The sequence below is a fragment of the Homo sapiens genome, chromosome X, assembly GCF_000001405.40.
Source record: "Homo sapiens chromosome X, GRCh38.p14 Primary Assembly".
NCBI classification, from domain to species: Eukaryota; Metazoa; Chordata; class Mammalia; order Primates; family Hominidae; genus Homo; species Homo sapiens.
This window is the reverse complement of record NC_000023.11, coordinates 136,751,309-136,769,352: the sequence shown is the minus strand read 5'-3', so window position 1 is coordinate 136,769,352 and position 18,044 is coordinate 136,751,309. Positions and strand designations below refer to the sequence as shown.

Below are 18,044 nucleotides of genomic sequence, written 5' to 3'. Positions count from 1 at the left end.
GCAGCCTCCACCTCCCGGGTTAAAGTGATTCTTGTGCCTCAGCCTCCCAAGTAGCTGGGATTACAGGTGCCCGCCATCATGCCCCGCAAATTTTTGTATTTTTAGTAGAGACAGGGTTTCGCCCTGTTGGCCAGGCTGGTCTCGAATTCCTGACCTCAAGTGATCCACCTGCATCTGCCTCCCAAAGTGCTGGGATTATAGGCAGGAGCCACCGCACCCAGCCCCAAGTTTATTTTTTTTTAAAGATATTTTATTCTGGAAGGATTTCACTGAATGTATATGAGATTCAATTAGTACTTATTTCACTTTCTTTCTTCCTCCTTCCCTCTCTTCCTCCTCTCTTTCCCCCTCTCTTACTCTCTCTCCCTCTCTTTCTCCCCCTCTCTCTTTCTTTCTTTCCAGTACCAGCTGGTAGCAGTATGTTTTTTTCTCTGCCCCCACCCCCTCATTCCCTCCTGTCTCCCTGAGTCACTCCATCTGCCTTGTCACCGGAACAGCAGGGGTGCCCTCCCCAAAGTGAGGCTTGTGGGATGGACGATTTGCCATTTCCCAGGGGCTGCTCTGCAGGGAAGCAGTTCTGAAAGTAAGGCAGCTCTACTAATGATCATGAGTCAAGACTAAATATCTAGCAGCGCGGTGCCTCCTGGGAGGAGTTAGGCACAAGGCCCGGCCTAACCACTACAATTACCAGTAGTTGTAACGGGTATCAGCAGATCTTGCTTCAAGCCCTGACCCTGCCACTTGTGTGAAGTCAGGATCTCCTTTCCCAGGCCTCAGTTGAGTCATCTGTAAAATGAGGAGACTAGAGTAGGGGTTGGGTAATGTCTAATGGTTGTAATGTCTGTTTTTAACTTGCCCATTTCCATCAGTTTCCGCTAGGCAAAGCTTTGCATATTTAGCTGCTCAGTTGGAACTAGTAGGAAGACCAAAGAGGATTTTGGCAAGTTCTTTTCTTCTGTTGTGCAAATCTGACATGCTTAATGGAATTTCCAAGAGTTACATTAAATGTCACCCATGAGTCTGGCTATCCTAATGTTTTACAGATTGCATCGTATTTCTGTAAAAATTAGACATTGAATAAGATTTTAAATATTTCCCATCTATCATGAACATTTTCGTTCTCTCTCAAAGAGACTATTTGATTTGGGGCCTGTTATCAGAGAGGCCGGGAAGGGCATCTAGGATAGTTGGAGGAAGGGTGGTATGTGAAGGGCCTCTGGAGAGCCAACGCTTCTCGGGTGTCTCAGCGGCTCACCATAGAGTTTGGGGGTTCTGAGTTGCATCTGGGGGTGAGGGAGGAAGCAGGCCACCAGAAAGGGCTAGTCCATGAGTCCGGGAATCCCGCCCGAAGCTCTGGCAGTGACCCGCAACATGCCAGGCACCGGCAGCCCTCGGGTAGGGGCTGAAGCGGGCGGCAGCAGCATGCGCAGTGTGGCCGCCGCGGGTACACCGCGGCTTTTGCTGCTGCCACAGCTACCAGGGCTGCTGCTGCTGCTGCTGCTGCTGCTGCTGCTCTGCCTGCGCCGCTGTCACTTCCAGTTCCTACTTCTGCGATCCAGGTCCGGGTCACTGCTTACCCGCTGCTGGCCCAGTGCCTCCAGGCCGCTTTCCCTCCGCTGCTCGGCTCCGGCTGCGGGCAGGAGGGGACCGGCGCGGGTAGCTGAGCGTGGTCTGGAGAAGCTTCGCGGGCTGGCTCCCCCGGCAGTCGCTCCCCTCCACTCGCCACCCCGCGCACCCTCGCCCGGCTCGCAGCCAGCGCACCCAGCGGGGCGCGCCTCCGGCACCCCCAGTTCGGCCCCGCGATCCTCCGCCCGCCGAGCGGCACGGCTATGGCAACAAGAACTTGAGGACAAGACTCTGACTTCCCTTTAGATTAAAAAACAATCCCTGGGCTGGAGAGGTTGCGGGCGCGGCACAGAGTTTGGAGACGGGCGCCCCCTCCTCGCCCGCGTCCAGGCGCAAAGTTGCAGCCGCCCCTCCCCGCTGGGGCGAGCCTAGCCCAGCTCTCCAGTTTCGCCCTGGTGGCGGCCGCGCTCAGGGCAGGGTCCCAGCTCCGGCTGGGTTGATCTGTTCCCGCAGCCTTGGCACAGGCTTGCCCGCCCGCTCGCCGGCCCCGTGACTCGGGAGGGCGAACGGCTTCCAGGAGGCGGCGGCGGCGCGGCTGGAGTGAGGGAGCAGCTGGAGGACAGGCGGGCAGCGGCCGAGCCAGGTGACCTGCCTGGGGGCAAAAGGGTCAGGGGAAGGGGAGCGCGCGAGGGCCCGGGGGTGGGTGCCGAAGGACCCCCTTTGGAGAGGAACCGCCCTTCTTCCCCACTGCCGTGGCTCGCAGCCCCAGCTGCGGGGTCCGTTCTCTGCCAGGGCCTCACAGTTCGCTGAGATCCAGGGTGCCGGGAAGGGGGAGATGAGGGCCAAGGACGCAGAGCGAGGACGCGCCAAACTTAGGGGCGAGTTGTCCAGCTCTGGCCGCAAGGTTTGCATCCGACTGGATTCTTTCCTTCCCCCAGAACCAGAGCAGGAGTCAACAGTACCATTTTTAATACTACTGTGATGCCCTCCCAACCCCGAGCATCCATACATTTGGAGATGTTTTCTGCATTAAGTACAGAGATCTGTCGCAGGAATGGTTTGTAGATGGAAAAGACCTGTATTCTACAAGGTGTTCCAAAGTGCCTGTAGTTAATTACAAGTTTTCATTTTCCAGTCATTTAGGAACCCAACAGGTATTTGAGCTATTTCGTTTCTTAGCTCTGCAGCGGAGAGCCCTCAAGTTTATCTCTGCCTCTTCAAAGGTCTTATATTTTCATTTTTGATTTGTTATTGTTTTTGGATAGAGGGGTAACTCACATGATATTTTTCCCTTTTCTTAATGTGTAGTGGGAGTAAAAATACAGTAAATGAATATATTTTCCTCTGCAATTATGTATATTTTGGTCAATAAAAACTTTGCATAACCCCCCCCCAAAAAAAACCTCACAAAATAGGATAAATTTCAGTTTATGCTCTGTAAAGTATTAATAATTTTAAAGGCAAGATTCAAAGGTTCAAACTGTTTTTTTTTAAACTTATATTTGCCTGGAAAACTCATAGTGTCCTTGGACTTCCTATCTTAATTTTGACATTGACCATGGTAAGAGGATCTCTGATGACATCATTTGCTCCAGCCACAGTCTGGAATTCTGTGACTGAGAGCACCTCTCTCCAAAATGTAAGGCCTGGGCCTGCCCTTGTGCTTCAGCTGAGGCATTTCCAAGGATTTCTCTTCAGCAAAGTATTATGCTACATGCCAGGCAATGCTGCAGTCCCTTCTTACATAATAAGCCAGCTTCAGGCTGGTGTACTCTTTGGGTGTGCTTAGAGCAGTTAAAACAAGGGAGTGTTCTGTCTTAGTCTGGGTGCTGTGCAGATGATTGGAGTTTTGAACAAAGTAAATTTCCAGCTACTATTCTCATATTGCATTTCTTTGGTGCTTAATTTTTTGAATGCCTTCTAGTTATCTGAAACTCCCCGTGCCCTTGTAAAGGATGTAGGAGAGATGGCATTACTTTCACTTGACAAAGAAACAGAAAAGTTTAGTTAATCGAAGTCATACAGCTTATCACTGGTAGGATCAAAACTCTAACCTGGACCTCCTGCTTTCAGCCTAGGTTTTTTCTTTGTTCGTTTATTTTTACTAAAATGTGACATTTTATACAAAAGTGTTTTATGTGGCACATTTTATGGATGGTATGTCTTCCAAGCTACTAATTTTTTCTATTCTTTTTGCCTACTCACATCTCAGCCTTGTCTTTGCTTGTGCAGGGCTGGCGCTGTTCTTAGGGGTAAGGACAGGAGGAGAGTTTTTCAAAGGATGGTCTGTGGTTTCTATTTACCTACAGTCTGCCTCTTCTCTACTCACATTCAGGGAGAGCAGGTGCTGAATAGAGTGAGTAGCCAGGGCCCAGAAATTTCTGATATTCATTTGACATCATTAGTCCAAGTATAACATTACTTCAATCTTTACAAAGAAACTCATTCAGGAGAGGAAATTGAAGAGTATGAGTTTTGTTCTTTTATAGCAATCTGTTTATCACTGTGCTTAGGACCGTAGATGCAAAGGAGGAAAAGGAGTTGAGTATCTACCATTTCTCAGGCACCTCCTATGTTCCAGGCACTATGCTAGGTGCTTTAAATCTATTATCATATTTAGCCCTTGCAACACTCCTGGGAGGTAGGTGGCATTGTACTCATTATACCCTGGTGGAAACCAAGGTTTGGAGATGATCCAGACTGATGCCTCACACTGCCAGTGCAAAGAAGAACCGGAATGTAATCACTGATGTACCTGACTCCAGAACTCATTCCCTTTGCCTTGTGCTAGGCTGCTGTTGCCCCCAAAGCTATTGATAAATACAGGAACACCTAGCTCCTTTGTTTTCAGACATGGCTGTACATTGGAGTCACTTGGGATACTTTTTAAAAATACAAATTTTGGGGTCTTATAACCCAGAGATTTTGAGTTAATTGGTCCGCAATGAGGCCCAGCCACTGGTATTCCTTTTTTAAAAAAATGCTTAAATCAACTTTATATTTACATTCGGGAAATTGCACAAATCCTAAGTATATAGTTTGGTGAATCTTCGCAAACTGACACACTCATACAGTCTGCACCCTTATTAAGAAACAGAACAGGATTGGTGCCCAGAAGCTATCCTCGTGCCCCTTCCCAGTCACTATGCCTCACCAAGGGGCACTACTATCATGACTATCCACCACTATCGTAGTAGATACCCTGCCTTCCCACCTGTTTTGGTACTCTATATGAGCGGACTCATACAGTATGTACTTGTTTGTATGAGGTTTCTTTCACTCAGCATAATATTTGTACAAGTCACCCGTGTTGTTGCAGGTAGTAGTGGTTCACTTTTTTTCTTGCTGTATAATATTTCATTGTATGGATATACCATGTTTTGTTTTTCTATTCACTTGTTGATGGACATCTACATTGTTTCCAGTTTTTGTTTGCTGTGAACAATGCTGCTATGAAGATCCTCGTGAGTGTCTCCTGGAGAATATATACACCCATTTCTGTTGGGTTTATGCATTACAGTGTCACTGCTACGTCATAGGGTCTGCATGTGTTCAGCTTTAGTAGGTACTGTCCAGCCATTTCCCAAATCAGACAAGCCTTGTGATTTTTTTTTTTTTGAAAGCTCTGCAAGTGATTCTAATGTGTATCCAGAGTTGAGAACCATTTCCCTGGTTTATCCAGCGTTCAGCAACCTAGTGACCTCAACTGTCTGCCACTAAGCTGAGAACCATACAGAAGGAGATACCAACTTTCTTCTCAGCCTGGAATCTTCTGGACAGTCTTCTCAGCAAAATTGGGCAGCTTACACTTATTTTCCCATAATCCCTTGTGCCAAGCTACCTTTATACTGCTCGTCCACCCTTGCTTTGTTTTTTTTTGTGAACACATCTGCTAGTCTCAGAACTTTTCAAAGGTAGGAACTGGAGCCTGATCTTCTTTATTTTATTTCTTTATTTATTTTGAGACAGAGTCTCGCTCTGTTGCCCAGGCTGGAGTGCAGTGGTGCGATCTCTGCTCACTGCAACCTCTGCCTCCTAGGTACAAGCGATTCTCTTGCCTCAGCTTCCTGAGTAGCTGGGATTACAGGCACATACCACCACGCCCGGCTAATTTTTGTATTTTTCATAGAGATGGGGTTTCACCATATTGGCCAGGCTGGTCTTGAACTCCTGACCTCAAGTGATCCACCCGACTTGGCTTCCCAAACTGCTAGGATTACAGGCGTAAGCCACCGTGCCCGGCCGTGATCATCTTTATAACCCTAGCGCCCAGTACAGGACATGGCACAGAGCAAGTGCTTAGGAAGGGTTTGTTAGATGAAAGATTGATAGAATGACTGAGTACTCAGAGAAGATCTGGGCTGCAAAGGAGACATCCCATCTTTGCACTAAGAATTATGTACTTTATTCATAGGACACTGCCTCAGGCCCTTGCTCAAAGCCTAATTGCTTTTACTTATCTCAGCATGTTAGCATTATGGGTAATCTGGTTGCTCACCCTGAAACTGATTAGAAATAGCAGATTAAATGAGATGAGGTAAGGTATGTGAAAGCACATTGTAAACTGGAAAATAGCATCTAAATAGAAAGTTGTGATAAAGGGAAATGAGGGGCTGCCCTAGATTAGATACACTGGCAATGGCAGAAACTCTATATATCTATGTACAACGTGGAATAACTGAAATCAAAAGCATGTCAGCAAAGGAGACAGAAAAACTATAAAAAGCAGACCCCCAAACACATAACTCTCTGGGGACTTTTGATGTGGTGTCAGGCATGCTGTGTGGTCTAGTCGCTAGAATATGTTCCTTTTCCTGCCTTGGTCTGGGTTTGATTCCTGGTTAGGGCAGCCTTTTTTTTCTTGAGAAGTTGTATACCAGTGCAGGGACTATGAGCTTGAGCTTTGGACATGGACTGACCTGGTTGGCCACTTATTAGGTATATGCTAACCTCCTAGGAGGTAGTAGTAATACCACTTATTAAGTATATGCTTCTGGCTGGGCACAGTGGCTCACGCCTATAATCCTAGCACTTTGGGAGGCTGAGGCAGGCGGATCACTTGAGGTCAGGAGTTCAAGACCAGCCTGACCAACATGATGAAACCCCATCTCTACTAAAAATACAAAAATTAGCCAGGCATCGTGGCACAAGCCTGTAATTGCTGCTACTTGGGAGGCTGAGGCAGGAGAATCGCTTGAACCTGGGAGGTGGAGGTTGCAGTGAGCCAAGATTGTGCCACTGCACTGGAGCCTGGACGACAGAGAGAGACTCTGGTTAAAAAAAGAAAAAAAGTATATGCCTCTTCCTAGGGTTAAATGAAAGAAAGCAAGTAAAGCACTTAGCACCGTCCTTGGCACTGAGTGAACTCTCAATAAAAGCTAGTTCCTAATTGGAATTTTAATATATCCCAGTAGATCAGTGTTCTGGGATATATTAGATAAAAAACATTGCATTATTTTTAAAAAAGTTCACTTAGTTCAGTTATGGTAAGCTAACTCTGTTTAAGAGGTGAGTCATTGATTTTTAGAAAGATTTCCTTTTGAAAATTTAACATTTAAAAAAATTGGAAGGGCAGGCTGGCATGGTGGCATACGCCTGTAATCCCAGCACTTTGGGAGGCCGAGGCGGGAGGATCACCTGAGGTCAGGAGTTCAAGACCAGCCTGGCCAACATGGTGAAACCCCATCTCCACAAAAGTACCAAAATTAGCTGAGCATGATGGCGGGTGCCTGTAATCCCAGCTACTCAGGAGGCTGAGGTGGGAGAATCGCTTGAACCCGGGAGGCGGAGGTTGCAGTGAGCTGAGATGCTGAGATCATGCCATTGCACTCCAGCCTAGGCGACAACAGCGAAACTCCGTTTCAAAAAAAAAAAGAAAAAAAATGGAAGGGTAAACTGTGGGCTTTCCAAGGGTTCTGAGGTTTTACTAGTTACATTTGCAATTGAGACAGGGCTAAAACTTGAAATAGGAAAAAAAAATCCAGCCATTTTCTCTCTCAGTACTATGCTCTATTCGGCAGAGACCACTTGTTTTTGGCAAAATGTTTTTAAAAATAAAGTCAAAGGTAAAATCCTCACATATTTTCTAATACTTAACACATCTCTAGAAGGCAAAACAAAGTTGAATATTTCTGGGCGTCTTAGATGAATAGTGATGTCATACTTGGCCTCTGTTCTCCATGCTTAACAGCAGAAATTAATCCTTCAACATTATTAGCATCTTTCACTCACTATTAAAGTGCTTTCGTTTCTGAGTTTGTCTCTGTGCTTTTCATCATAGAAAATAATTCAAATTTAGATTACAGTGTGTTGAAATATGTTTAAAATAATTTAGATATTATATTTAATTGGTTTTTTATATTTTATTTGGAAGGCTACATAAAGACAGTTTAAATTTCCGTGATATTGCAGCCCAGTGATATCCATGGAACAGAGATTGGAACTTTTAACTACAGTTTCAGACAATATATGTGCAATCTGAAGAGTTTTAGGAACTCCTTGTAAGAGTTCTTGTTCTTTCCCTAGCTTATTGTCTTGCTGTTGTTCTCAATGCTTAGCATGGTCAATTTTTAACTGCTGAAAACAATTTGTGTATGGTTTCCTTTATAACAGCTCAGGACTAGAAATATATTTGGGGATCCAGTTGTAAAGAGGAACTGGAGAAGACAAAGCAACTGAATTCTTCAGAGACTATGAATTATTCAGTTGTTAACCACAGTAACTTCTTGAGCTACCATTTTGTGTTCTAATAATAGAAACAGTTTGGATGGATTCCTCTGGGTATTGAAAAATCAGATCTTTTCATTCTTTTCTAGTCTATGCATAAACTAGAAGAATGTGAGAAAAGACTATTTTCAGTTGCTCATGTTTACCTGGATGAACTAGTTTAATTTTTGTCTTTTAAAACAGACATATTTATTTTAAAATTAAAATAGCTTGAAATTTTAAAATACACCCCAAAGCAAGATGATCGTTTAAGTTAAGTTAAACAATACAATGAATGGTCTTTTATTTTTGGTGATGATTGCCAAAAACCTCTTGCCTTCAGGAAATAAGCAATAAACCTGATGAATTTGGCATAGTTGAGGGGGAAAATAAAAATCAATGGCTTCTATTTAAAAAACACAGTATGTAATATCTAAAAAAGAAAGGCATTGTTTCTGAATTGGGGTGAATGTACCAAACATATACCAAAAGGAAGGCATTTTGTTAGAAAATTTGATTAATTATTAGAATCTTCCTGACTGGAGATGTAAATTATCTTGTTTTAAATCTAACTCACTCTAATTTGGTTTTAATGTTGACTGTAATCCAGGCTGTTTCTGGGGACAACAGAACACAATATACCTCTTTATTCAAACCACACAATCTTGGCCAGCTATTCCCTACTCCAGCCCCATTCTAACTTGGTCTTATTGTTATCATTGAGGTGGCCCTCAAGGATCAGTCTGAGAGGTGATGTGATGTTGCCAGCACAGCATAAGGTATGCAGAGCGATTGGTGATGACATTTGGGGTTAGTACCAAGAGGAAATGCAGAGTTGGTCCTTTGAATTGCAAATGAGGAAGTGTGAAGGCACTTGCCAGTTTCTTAGGGCCCTCCCTTTACCAGTTTTTTAGAGGGGGTTGTTTATGTCCACTTAGTCCAGAAGCTACTCTGTATCTGCATTTCAACATGGGCAATGGCACTTCCTCTGCTGTCAGCTGGAAGAAAGACCTATGACACTAGATATCTGTCCGATTAGCTCCAGGCTTTGTCATACCCTGGCAAACTGGGCCTTATCACACAAAGAGATGTATGGGCTTAGAGATGTGGATCATCCAAAACAGCATGTAGTCACGTATCATTTCTATTGGACTTCTGGCAGAAGATTTACCTTCCTAATTAAGTTCTACTTAGGCAAATCTGGTAAAATCCAAGCTTTATACTTTCTTGGGGACTTGAATATTATTCCAGAGATCAGACATGTCAATTGAGTGAGTGAATAGGGCAACAGGGAAAAGAAGGAATTAAATTAAGGTGAGATAAAATGCAGCAGTTTGCAAAGCAGCAAGTGAAACTATTATTAAGGACTTGTCTCACCCTCAACAATAACAAAGATGTTTCCCTACTTCTTGGAAGCATGGACATTATTTTAAGAGGCTTTTTTTTTTTTTTTTGACAGAGTCCTGCTGTTTTGCCCAGGCTGGAGTGCAGTGGTGCGATTTTGGCTCACTGTAACCTCCGCCTCTTTGGTTCAAGCGATTCTCCTGCCTCAGCCTCCCAAGTAGCTGGGATTACAGTCATGTGCCACTATGTCCGGCTAATTTTTTGTATTTTTAGTTTCACTATGTCGCTCAGGCTGGTCTTGAACTCTTGATCTCAAGTGATCCGCCCCCCTCGGCCTCCCAAAGTGCTGGGATTACAGGTGTGAGCCACCGCGCCAGCCTTAAGAGGCATCTTTAAGGTGTCAAACTCTTAACATCATTTATGAAAAGCCCTGCCTGTGAAGCAGGCCTGAACACTAATTTGTATGTTCTTCATGAGGAGGTCTCCAGCAAAAGAGAGGTATGTACTAATAATTTCTGAGAAATGTATGCAGATCAGGAGACTGCAGTCTTTCACTAACAAAAGAAGTTTAACAACTTTTTTGTGAGAATATACATTGTGATAGTGGAAATAAGCGTTTACACTGTTTGTATAACCACTTTGCATTCTCTGAAGAAGGATTGGTATTTGGGAGTGTGTTGTGTATTGGGGCAAATCTTGATTTGAGATTAAAAAATCACCTTCAAGTAGAGACAACAGAATAGAAAATGGTTTTAGGGCTAATGTACCTGTGGGTGACTTCATTTGCCAGATTTTATATAGGGTTCTTTTTATTTCTCATCTTAAAACAAATTTATGTATTACTGCCTGGCATAGACACCAGGTGTTCAACAAATATTTGTTGAATGGATAATGAATGGGTATTTGAATGGAAATGAACTTCTAAAATTTCATTTTAGATAGCTTGTGTATTTAAGAGTCTACATGTAGATGGTCAGGAGTTGACTTTTATTCATAAAAATGACTCTTTAATGGGTAAAAATGAGGACAGAAAGAAAGCTGGGTTTCCCCTAAGATAACATTACTTTATGCCAAGCTAGGGTACTTGTTTCAAGTTTTTTAAAAATTAAAAAAAAGAAAATTAAAGGTGTGAGATACTAGCTCCTGTGATGTCATATGGAAGCCTTTTTCTACTTTTCCAGTCTCTAGGCTACTTCTTATTTCTTCTATTACCGAAACTCTCTTGCTTTCACTGGGCTTTCAAGGTGTGAGCTCTTCATGTGAGGATTCTCTGACTGTGATTTTCTCCAAAGTGATCTCAGGCAGTAACTTCATTTCTTTTCGGTGAGGTAAATGCTTTGTCAGCATTTTAAAATCATATTCTTAAAAAAAAAATAATTTATTTTTGGCCGGGCGCAGTGGCTCACGCCTGTTAATCCCAGCACTTTCGGAGGCCGAGGCGGGCGGATCACGAGGTCAGGAGATCCAGACCATCCTGGCTAACACGGTGAGACCTCGTCTCTACTAAAAATACAAAAAAATTAGCCGGGCGTGGTGGCACGTGCCTGTAGTCCCAGCTACTCAGGAGGCTGAGGCAGGAGAATGGCGTGAACCCAGGAGGCGGAGCTTGTAGTGAGCCGAGATGGCGCCACTGCACTCCAGCCTGGGCGACAGAGCGAGACTCCGTCCCAAAAAAAAAAAAAAAAAAAAAAAAAAAAAAAAAAAAAGAATTTATTTTTAGCAGGTGATGGAAAATATATGAGCCTTGATTTATCAAATTCTACTTTAAAAAATTTGCCTTTTCCTCCTCTCTTTCCTTCTCGGAAAGGCATGCCCAAAGGGCAGGTGCTTCTGGTGGAAGACATACCTGTTTGAATTTTAGACTGGGAGAGAAAACTGACACTTAGCAAGAACTTGTCCAATGTCTGTAAAGTGAGCACCATGCCTGGCACTGTGGGCTCCTGCCTATTGGACAGAGGCAGCATGTATGTGTGAAAGAGTGGAATTTAACAGCATTTAGCAGTGTATGGTTAGGTGTCCAAGTTAGTGGTTCCAGAATCTAGAGCCTAAATGCAAGAGGAATTCAGAAATAGGGAAGCCTGTTGTGTACTGAGGCGTAGTGTTTGGGGAAAACACCATGGAAGGGAGTGATTTGGATTGGGCCCTGAAGGATAGCTAGCATTCAGATGATTGAGGGAACTTTCTGAAGGAGAAGTATAAATGTCAGAGAGAGGCACAGTGAAGAAAGAAGATTCTGGAGCATATAAGGAGATGATGGTGAGAAACGATGGGCCTGCTAAGGTCTACCTTAGAGATGCTTGAGAAGAAATTATTTTAAATTTATTTATTATTACTATTTTTTGAGATGGCATCTTGCTCTGTCATCCAGGCTAGAGTGCGACAGGCTAGAGCGTGACAGGCTAGATTGCCGAGGCTAGTGGCGCGATCTCAACTCACTGCAACCTCCGCCTCCTGGTTTCAAGCGATTGTCCTGCCTCAGCCTCCCCACTAGCTGGGATTACAGGCGTGTGCCACCACATCTGGTTAATTTTTGTATTTTTAGTAGAGACGGCCATGTTGGCCAGGCTGGCCTTAAACTCCTGACCTCAAGTGATTAGCCCACCTCAGCCTCCCAAAGTGCTGGGACTACAGACATGAACCACTGCGCCTGGCCTTGAGAAGTAATTTGAATGCTAGTCTGAAGAGGGTGGACTTGATCTTGGGTTATATTAGGCTTTTTATTGGATGCCTTTGCTGTGTTTTGAGAGACATGAGTGCTAACTAAAAGCACCATTTCTGATGTCTGTGAGATCTGAGCTCCTGAATGCCCACCTAACAGTGTTTGGATTGTTTCCTAAGTGCAAATCCTGTTTGGAGTAAGTTGGAGCAGGATTCACTAATTAATTTATGTCTGTTAGGCATTGATGAGTGTCTCTGAAAATGACATACTTTTCAAAAAGTGAATCACACAGATATATAAATGGGAAGAGCCAAAAGTCTTTGCCAAATGAATGGCTGAAGGTAATCTCTAAGTAAAGAGAGAAAATAATAATAACTTTGGCACAGCATCCTTTCCTCCAAGTTTAGCAGGTGTTAGGAGGATTTTGGGCATGTGAATTGTAGTCTTTCCAATTACACGTTACCCCTTCTTGCTGCTGGTGAGTTGCTTTGCCGTGTCCCATTGTGCTCTGGCTGTGAGTTGGAGCTAGTTTTAGAGCATAGGCATGAACAGGGGAGGGTGGCTTGTAGTGTTTGCCATTTATTCAGTTTTACAACAAAAACGGTTGAAAATATAACCAATTCCAGAAAAAGCAGTAAAATCCCACAGTTCTTTGCAACTTCTCTTCTCTATGATAATGAGGTCATGGTGCTTTGTGATGGCATTTAGAGGAACCTCTATTACCTGGGACAGGCAAGCAGTTGCAGATGTTGCCCACACTCAGCACACAACTTAAAAAATTAACAACCGTAGAGTCTGAAGCACCTTTGGTCACCTCGTGGTCACAGAGCTTAATTTTGCTGATGAGCACAGGTACATCTAATTTTAGATGTTACATGTTTCCTGGAAAATTGCGTGGAGATTGTTTTTTTTCTTTCCTAAGTGATATCTCTTTCTGAGTTTATTATACTTTCTGCAATACTTTTTCTTCAAGTATGATTAATCATCTATTGATGAGAACAGCTAAACTCTCATTAATTAACCAAATATCTATTGAGTGCCTACTGCGTGACAGGCACTCTTCTAGACACTGAGGATCCAGAAGTGAAAAAAAAATTGACATCATGGGGCTTACGTTCTAGGCATAATTTACCTTTATAAGTCTCTCTGACAGAGCATCCTGTCAATCAACCAATGAATGGTTATTTATCAAGTATTTCGTGTATGTTGAATATTGGGGCCAGGTCTGTGGGGGAATGCGGACTTCAAAGAGCCTACCTTTTAATAGGAAATTCAGGACTAATCTCAGTACCTGCATAATGAATAAAGAATATTGGGCTGATAGACCACTGACAGCTTAAATTTACAACATCTCTACAGACTATAAAGCTGTAGCTGTTTGGAAAAAAGAAACATGAAGGTAGGTCAGTGAGGACATTATGGATAGCAACAGGTGATACTTGGAAGGGCTGCTGCTGAAGGCGACTAGCAGTGGCTCTTTTGTTTCATGGCCCTCGTTTCTCCCTAGTCTTTGTGTGGGGCTATTTACCACCAGTCTCTGCTGTAAATTCTGGTAGGCTCTGGGGCTCCTACCCTAAATCTTAGTAGCTGCTAGGAAAGCAGGGACCAAGGGAGCCTTCTCTCCATAGGTGAGGCTCCTCTCTAACTGCCTGGATTGTTAAACAGGCACGGAGGAGCTGCTGACTACTGAAATTTCTGAGGGTATTCTCACGGACTTCATATATTTACCTTGATTCTCTCATCACTAAGAGTTCTAAAATAAATAGTACCCTGAATGTCTAGGGCATTTGTTCATCTTTTATATGAAGGGACAAGGAAAAAGCATAAAGGATGTTGGACATTGATTTGGGAACACATGTCTGGCCACTCTTCAATGTAAAAACAAATTATTTTCCAAAAGTTCATTTTTAAGTGATTATTAGGGACACAGAAAACATTTTCCCATAGAAACAAGGCTCAACACGGTGATTATGTTTTCTGGCTGGCCCACAACAGCCTGTTGAATACTTAATGTGGCTGAACTATAGAACTCACAGAGGCTAAGTGGCAGGTGTGATGCTGTTTCTGGGAAAATGTGTTCCGCATTCCAATTTGGAACACTAGGGAGTCAGTCCCTGTTTCTAAAGGGGTGGGAGTGGGGGCATTGGGGAAGACACCCTCATGTCTGGCACACAGATGCTCCAGCAGCTGAGAGATCACCCATCCACCCCACACCGCAAAACTGGCAACCAGTGTGCTTTTGCAAAGGCTCTGGTGACAGGAGCACAGGAGGAGGGGTGGGAGCCCGCCAAGCCACAATGGCTGGCTGACTGTGAGGCAGCTGAGTCTAGGCCTCCTGCTTCCTGTCCTTGGCTTGGCAAGGGCTATTGACAAGAGATATTTCATTTTTCCCTTTCCTTCATGCCTACTCTCTTTTTGGTGAGATTATTCAAAACCAGTTGTTCCTTCTTCTTTTTTCTTTTTCTTTTCTTTTCTTTCGTTGTTTTTTTTTTTTTTGAGGCGGGGTTTCGCTGTTGCCCAGGCTGGAGTGCAGTGGTGCAATCTCAGCTCGCTGCAACCTCCGCCTCCCAGATTCAAGCCATTCTTCTACCTCAGCCTCCTGAGTAGCTGGGATTACAGGTGCCCACCACTGCACCTGGCTAATTTTTGTATTTTTAGAAGAGATGGGTTTCACTATGCTGGCCAGTCTGGTCTCGAACTCCTGGACTCAAGTGATCCACCTACCTCGGCCTCCCAAGGTGCTGGGATTACAGGTGTGAGCCATTGTGCCCAGCCATCAGTTGTTCTCTTTTGCTCTCCCTTTATTTAATCCTGTGACTGGCCCCACTAAGATGCCTATATTGTTCTTCATTCATTCCCCTCTTACCTGAACACTTAATACTCAACTAAAGTCTCTGTTATAGAGAAAGGGGTTCTCCCCTATAGGAGTGCTAACAAGGAAGAATGGGAGTCCTATGGTGATGCTGAGGTAGCCGTCAGGGAATGAGATTTGTGACTTAATGAAGAGTGAGGGAGAAAGCTCAGATCTTGGCTTCTGTCATAGGAGCTCCATGGAGCTGAACTTCCTGGCTCTAGATTCTATGAGGTTCGAGTAATCTAGGAGTCCATATTAGTTATGTAAAGTGACTTTATAGAAATCCACAGAGCCAAAAAGAAAACATAGAGAGTTAAAGCTGTCCATGATCACAGTCCAAATGCCACGATGCAGTGGCAGCAAGATAAAGCCAGAATTTATAAATAGGTCATTTAAAAATGACATTTTGAAAAATCAGCTTGTAAACAGGTTGTAAGCATGTTAGGCTGCAATACCCTAGACTCTCTTTGCTCTGATTCTGTAGTACTCAACACATTTCTCATTATAATTTAGCTCACCAGAGAGATTTCTCTATTGGGAGAGAGTGCCCTGGCCAGAAAATGGGAGTATTTAATCTTCTTAGTGCTTCATTTATTTTTAGTAAAAATTAAGAAATTGGCCTTTTGGTTTATGCATTGGCCTTTTATGAGCTTGGCTAGTGTGAGTCCATTCTCAAGAGCCTTGAGAACTGAAGACCTGATTCTGGGCCTTGGGGACCCAGCCAAGATGCTGCCTTTAAAAGCTCCTATTTAGATGATGGACCACAAGACCTCTCACTGAGCTCCTTTGCTCAAAGACACTTTCCAGATGGGAAATGGAGCCTCATAAAGGTAGTGTTGCTTTCCTAAGGTCCTCACAACTGCTCAATAGTGACAAAGCTGAGATTGGAGTCAAAGTCTTCTGACTCTCACATCAGTGCTCTTTCCAATACACTGTATGTTGTTTCAGCTACAGGCACAAATTAGATCTTGGAGAGAAAGGGAGGAAATAAAAGTTGAGAGCAAGATTTGCTCCCTTAAGTTTGGTCCATATCAAATAGGAACAGCTATTATTTAAAACCAGGCAGAGTAGAAATGCCATCCACTATATTCTAGTAAGTGGAATACCAGTGGGTAATGAATCCAATTTCTGAGCTAAGAGCATTATTTGTTGCTGACTTTGTGACTGCTTTTAGTAGGAGCTATGTGCACACATCCCAGATCACGTTCACAGGGCCAGGAGCGGTACCACCCAGTGAAATATGACTAAGCAGCTCAGATTTGCTTGCTCTGTTGCACTATGTAATGACATTTCCACCAAAGTTCAGGGGTTAACAGAGGCAGTGTGCTCAGCTGTGAGAATTAAAGAATGTGATTCAAGATGAGCTAAGTTAATTTAAGATTTTGTTCAATAAGAGCAATAAGAACAAGGAAGAGCTGGAATGTTCCTAAATATTTGGAATCTTTTTTAAAAAACAGGCTTGAAATATAAGCTATATGTCCTTGTGGTCCCAATGTATCACTTGCTTTTCAGTTGATTAGACTTTTAACTCTTGAGTAATGGAACCTATTATAATCACCCCCAACCTTAAATTACCTTTAAATAGCAGTTGATTGGGTGTTACTGAAACCACATGACATTAAAGATGACCAGTTCTGAACCAGGGTAGGGTATGCCTTCTTTTCTTAACTAAGATGTGGCTAGACTGCTGTGACTGGTTAACTCAGGTGGTTAGAGCATGATGTCAAGAAAATCAGGAGGCTAGGTGTCATTGCACGTGGCACAGATGTTTTAGCTTGGTTCTGTAATCACGAGCTGGACCCCTACCAGACCAGGACCTCACAAATATGGATCGTGGCTCACGAGGCAGACCTGGTTCAACAAATAGGAGGAGCTTAGTGTAGCTTTTCCCCTCTTTTGGCAAATGTGGCCAAGTGCCTCCTAGGTGAAGGCTGACCCTTGAAATGGGAAGGACAGCACAGGAATTAGGCAAGGCCCCTGTGGAGACAGTCTTGTAATATGGAAAATTTTCTCTTTGCTACAATTAGTTGAATTAATCATTTTAGAGGCTATAACAAACTCGATGCAGATGATACAGATGCTACTTGTATTGACAGAAGCAAAGGATTTCTTTTCGCATACAGACTCATGGATTGCTTTTTCATTTTTTCTCTATGTCTCATGGAAACATAAGGTGTACATGCAGGGCTACAATGCCCCTCAGAGCATTTTCTTGTGTATCTTTATTGGCTCCATCATTTTCCTGCCCTGTGACTTAACTACTCTGAGTCTTAGTTTACTCATCCGTGGAATGGGGAAAATAATTGTACTGACATCATGGGCTTGCTGGGAGAATCAAATGCAAATAAAAAAATATATTTGTATCTTAGTCTGTTCAGACCACCAGAACAAAAAGCCATAAACCAGGTAGCTTATAAACAATGGAAGTGTATTTCTCATAGTTCTGGAGGCCAGAAATCCAAGATCAAGACATATTTAGTATCCTGGTGAGGGCCTACTTCCCTATTCATAGATAGTACCTTCTCTCTATGTCCTTACATGGTGGAAGGGACAAGGTAGCTCTCTGGGGCCTCTTGGATAAAGTCAACAATCCCAGTCATGAGAGCTATGCCCTCATGATCTAATCACCTCTAAATGCCACCACCTCCAAATACCATTATACTGGTGATTAGGTTTCAACATATGAATTTGGGAAGGGCACAAACATTCAGATCATAGCAATATGTATGTGATGTCCAAGCGTGGTGCCAGGAACATAGCAGGAGCTCAGTAAATCAGTAAACAGTAGCTATAAGATAAGTGAGGGAATGGAACAGGGAGTTGGGAAAGTTTATTCTCATATGCTTCCTGGCTTTTTGCAGTTTAGGGAAAGTGTCATAAAATAGCATACATGTTGAAACTGAGAACTACTCCAAA

General features: G+C 43.5%; 1 protein-coding gene across 12 annotated transcripts in view, besides 7 other annotated features; it reads left to right on the top strand.

The window, feature by feature from the left end:
- ARHGEF6 (Rac/Cdc42 guanine nucleotide exchange factor 6) overlaps positions 1–18,044 on the top strand; it is a 115,383-nt gene that overhangs the window by 11,580 nt on the left and 85,759 nt on the right. For 2 of the 12 annotated variants that reach the window (NM_001306177.2, XM_047442675.1), the window contains exon 1: positions 1,538–2,209. The exons of 6 other annotated variants lie outside the window; for them this stretch is intronic. Coding sequence is in view for 4 of the 6 variants with exons in the window: in NM_001440998.1 (NP_001427927.1) it covers positions 10,036–10,113 (78 nt within the window). In the remaining 2 variants the exon portion in view is untranslated. Of the gene's footprint in view, positions 1–1,537; positions 2,210–9,730; positions 10,114–18,044 lie in introns of those variants that run through there. 4 more of the 12 variants (XM_047442673.1, XM_011531415.3, NM_001440997.1 and 1 more) reach the window with 3 other exon arrangements.
- Positions 817–926: an enhancer, noted in NCBI's record as "active region_29995". NCBI's record gives its function as "activates an Ori minimal core promoter by ATAC-STARR-seq in GM12878 lymphoblastoid cells {active_cell/tissue: GM12878}" and the evidence as "EXISTENCE:reporter gene assay evidence [ECO:0000049][PMID:35858748]".
- Positions 1,659–1,938: a silencer, noted in NCBI's record as "silent region_21032". NCBI's record gives its function as "represses an Ori minimal core promoter by ATAC-STARR-seq in GM12878 lymphoblastoid cells {active_cell/tissue: GM12878}" and the evidence as "EXISTENCE:reporter gene assay evidence [ECO:0000049][PMID:35858748]".
- Positions 1,659–2,024: a biological region, named in NCBI's record as "ReSE screen-validated silencer GRCh37_chrX:135849488-135849656".
- Positions 1,856–2,024: a silencer, noted in NCBI's record as "fragment chrX:135849488-135849656 (GRCh37/hg19 assembly coordinates)". NCBI's record gives its function as "represses an EF-1alpha promoter that drives an FKBP-Casp9 reporter gene in an ReSE screen in phorbol 12-myristate 13-acetate-treated (for megakaryocytic differentiation) K562 erythroleukemia cells {active_cell/tissue: K562(+PMA)}" and the evidence as "EXISTENCE:reporter gene assay evidence [ECO:0000049][PMID:32094911]".
- Positions 1,949–1,998: a silencer, noted in NCBI's record as "silent region_21031". NCBI's record gives its function as "represses an Ori minimal core promoter by ATAC-STARR-seq in GM12878 lymphoblastoid cells {active_cell/tissue: GM12878}" and the evidence as "EXISTENCE:reporter gene assay evidence [ECO:0000049][PMID:35858748]".
- Positions 2,029–2,078: a silencer, noted in NCBI's record as "silent region_21030". NCBI's record gives its function as "represses an Ori minimal core promoter by ATAC-STARR-seq in GM12878 lymphoblastoid cells {active_cell/tissue: GM12878}" and the evidence as "EXISTENCE:reporter gene assay evidence [ECO:0000049][PMID:35858748]".
- Positions 2,139–2,268: a silencer, noted in NCBI's record as "silent region_21029". NCBI's record gives its function as "represses an Ori minimal core promoter by ATAC-STARR-seq in GM12878 lymphoblastoid cells {active_cell/tissue: GM12878}" and the evidence as "EXISTENCE:reporter gene assay evidence [ECO:0000049][PMID:35858748]".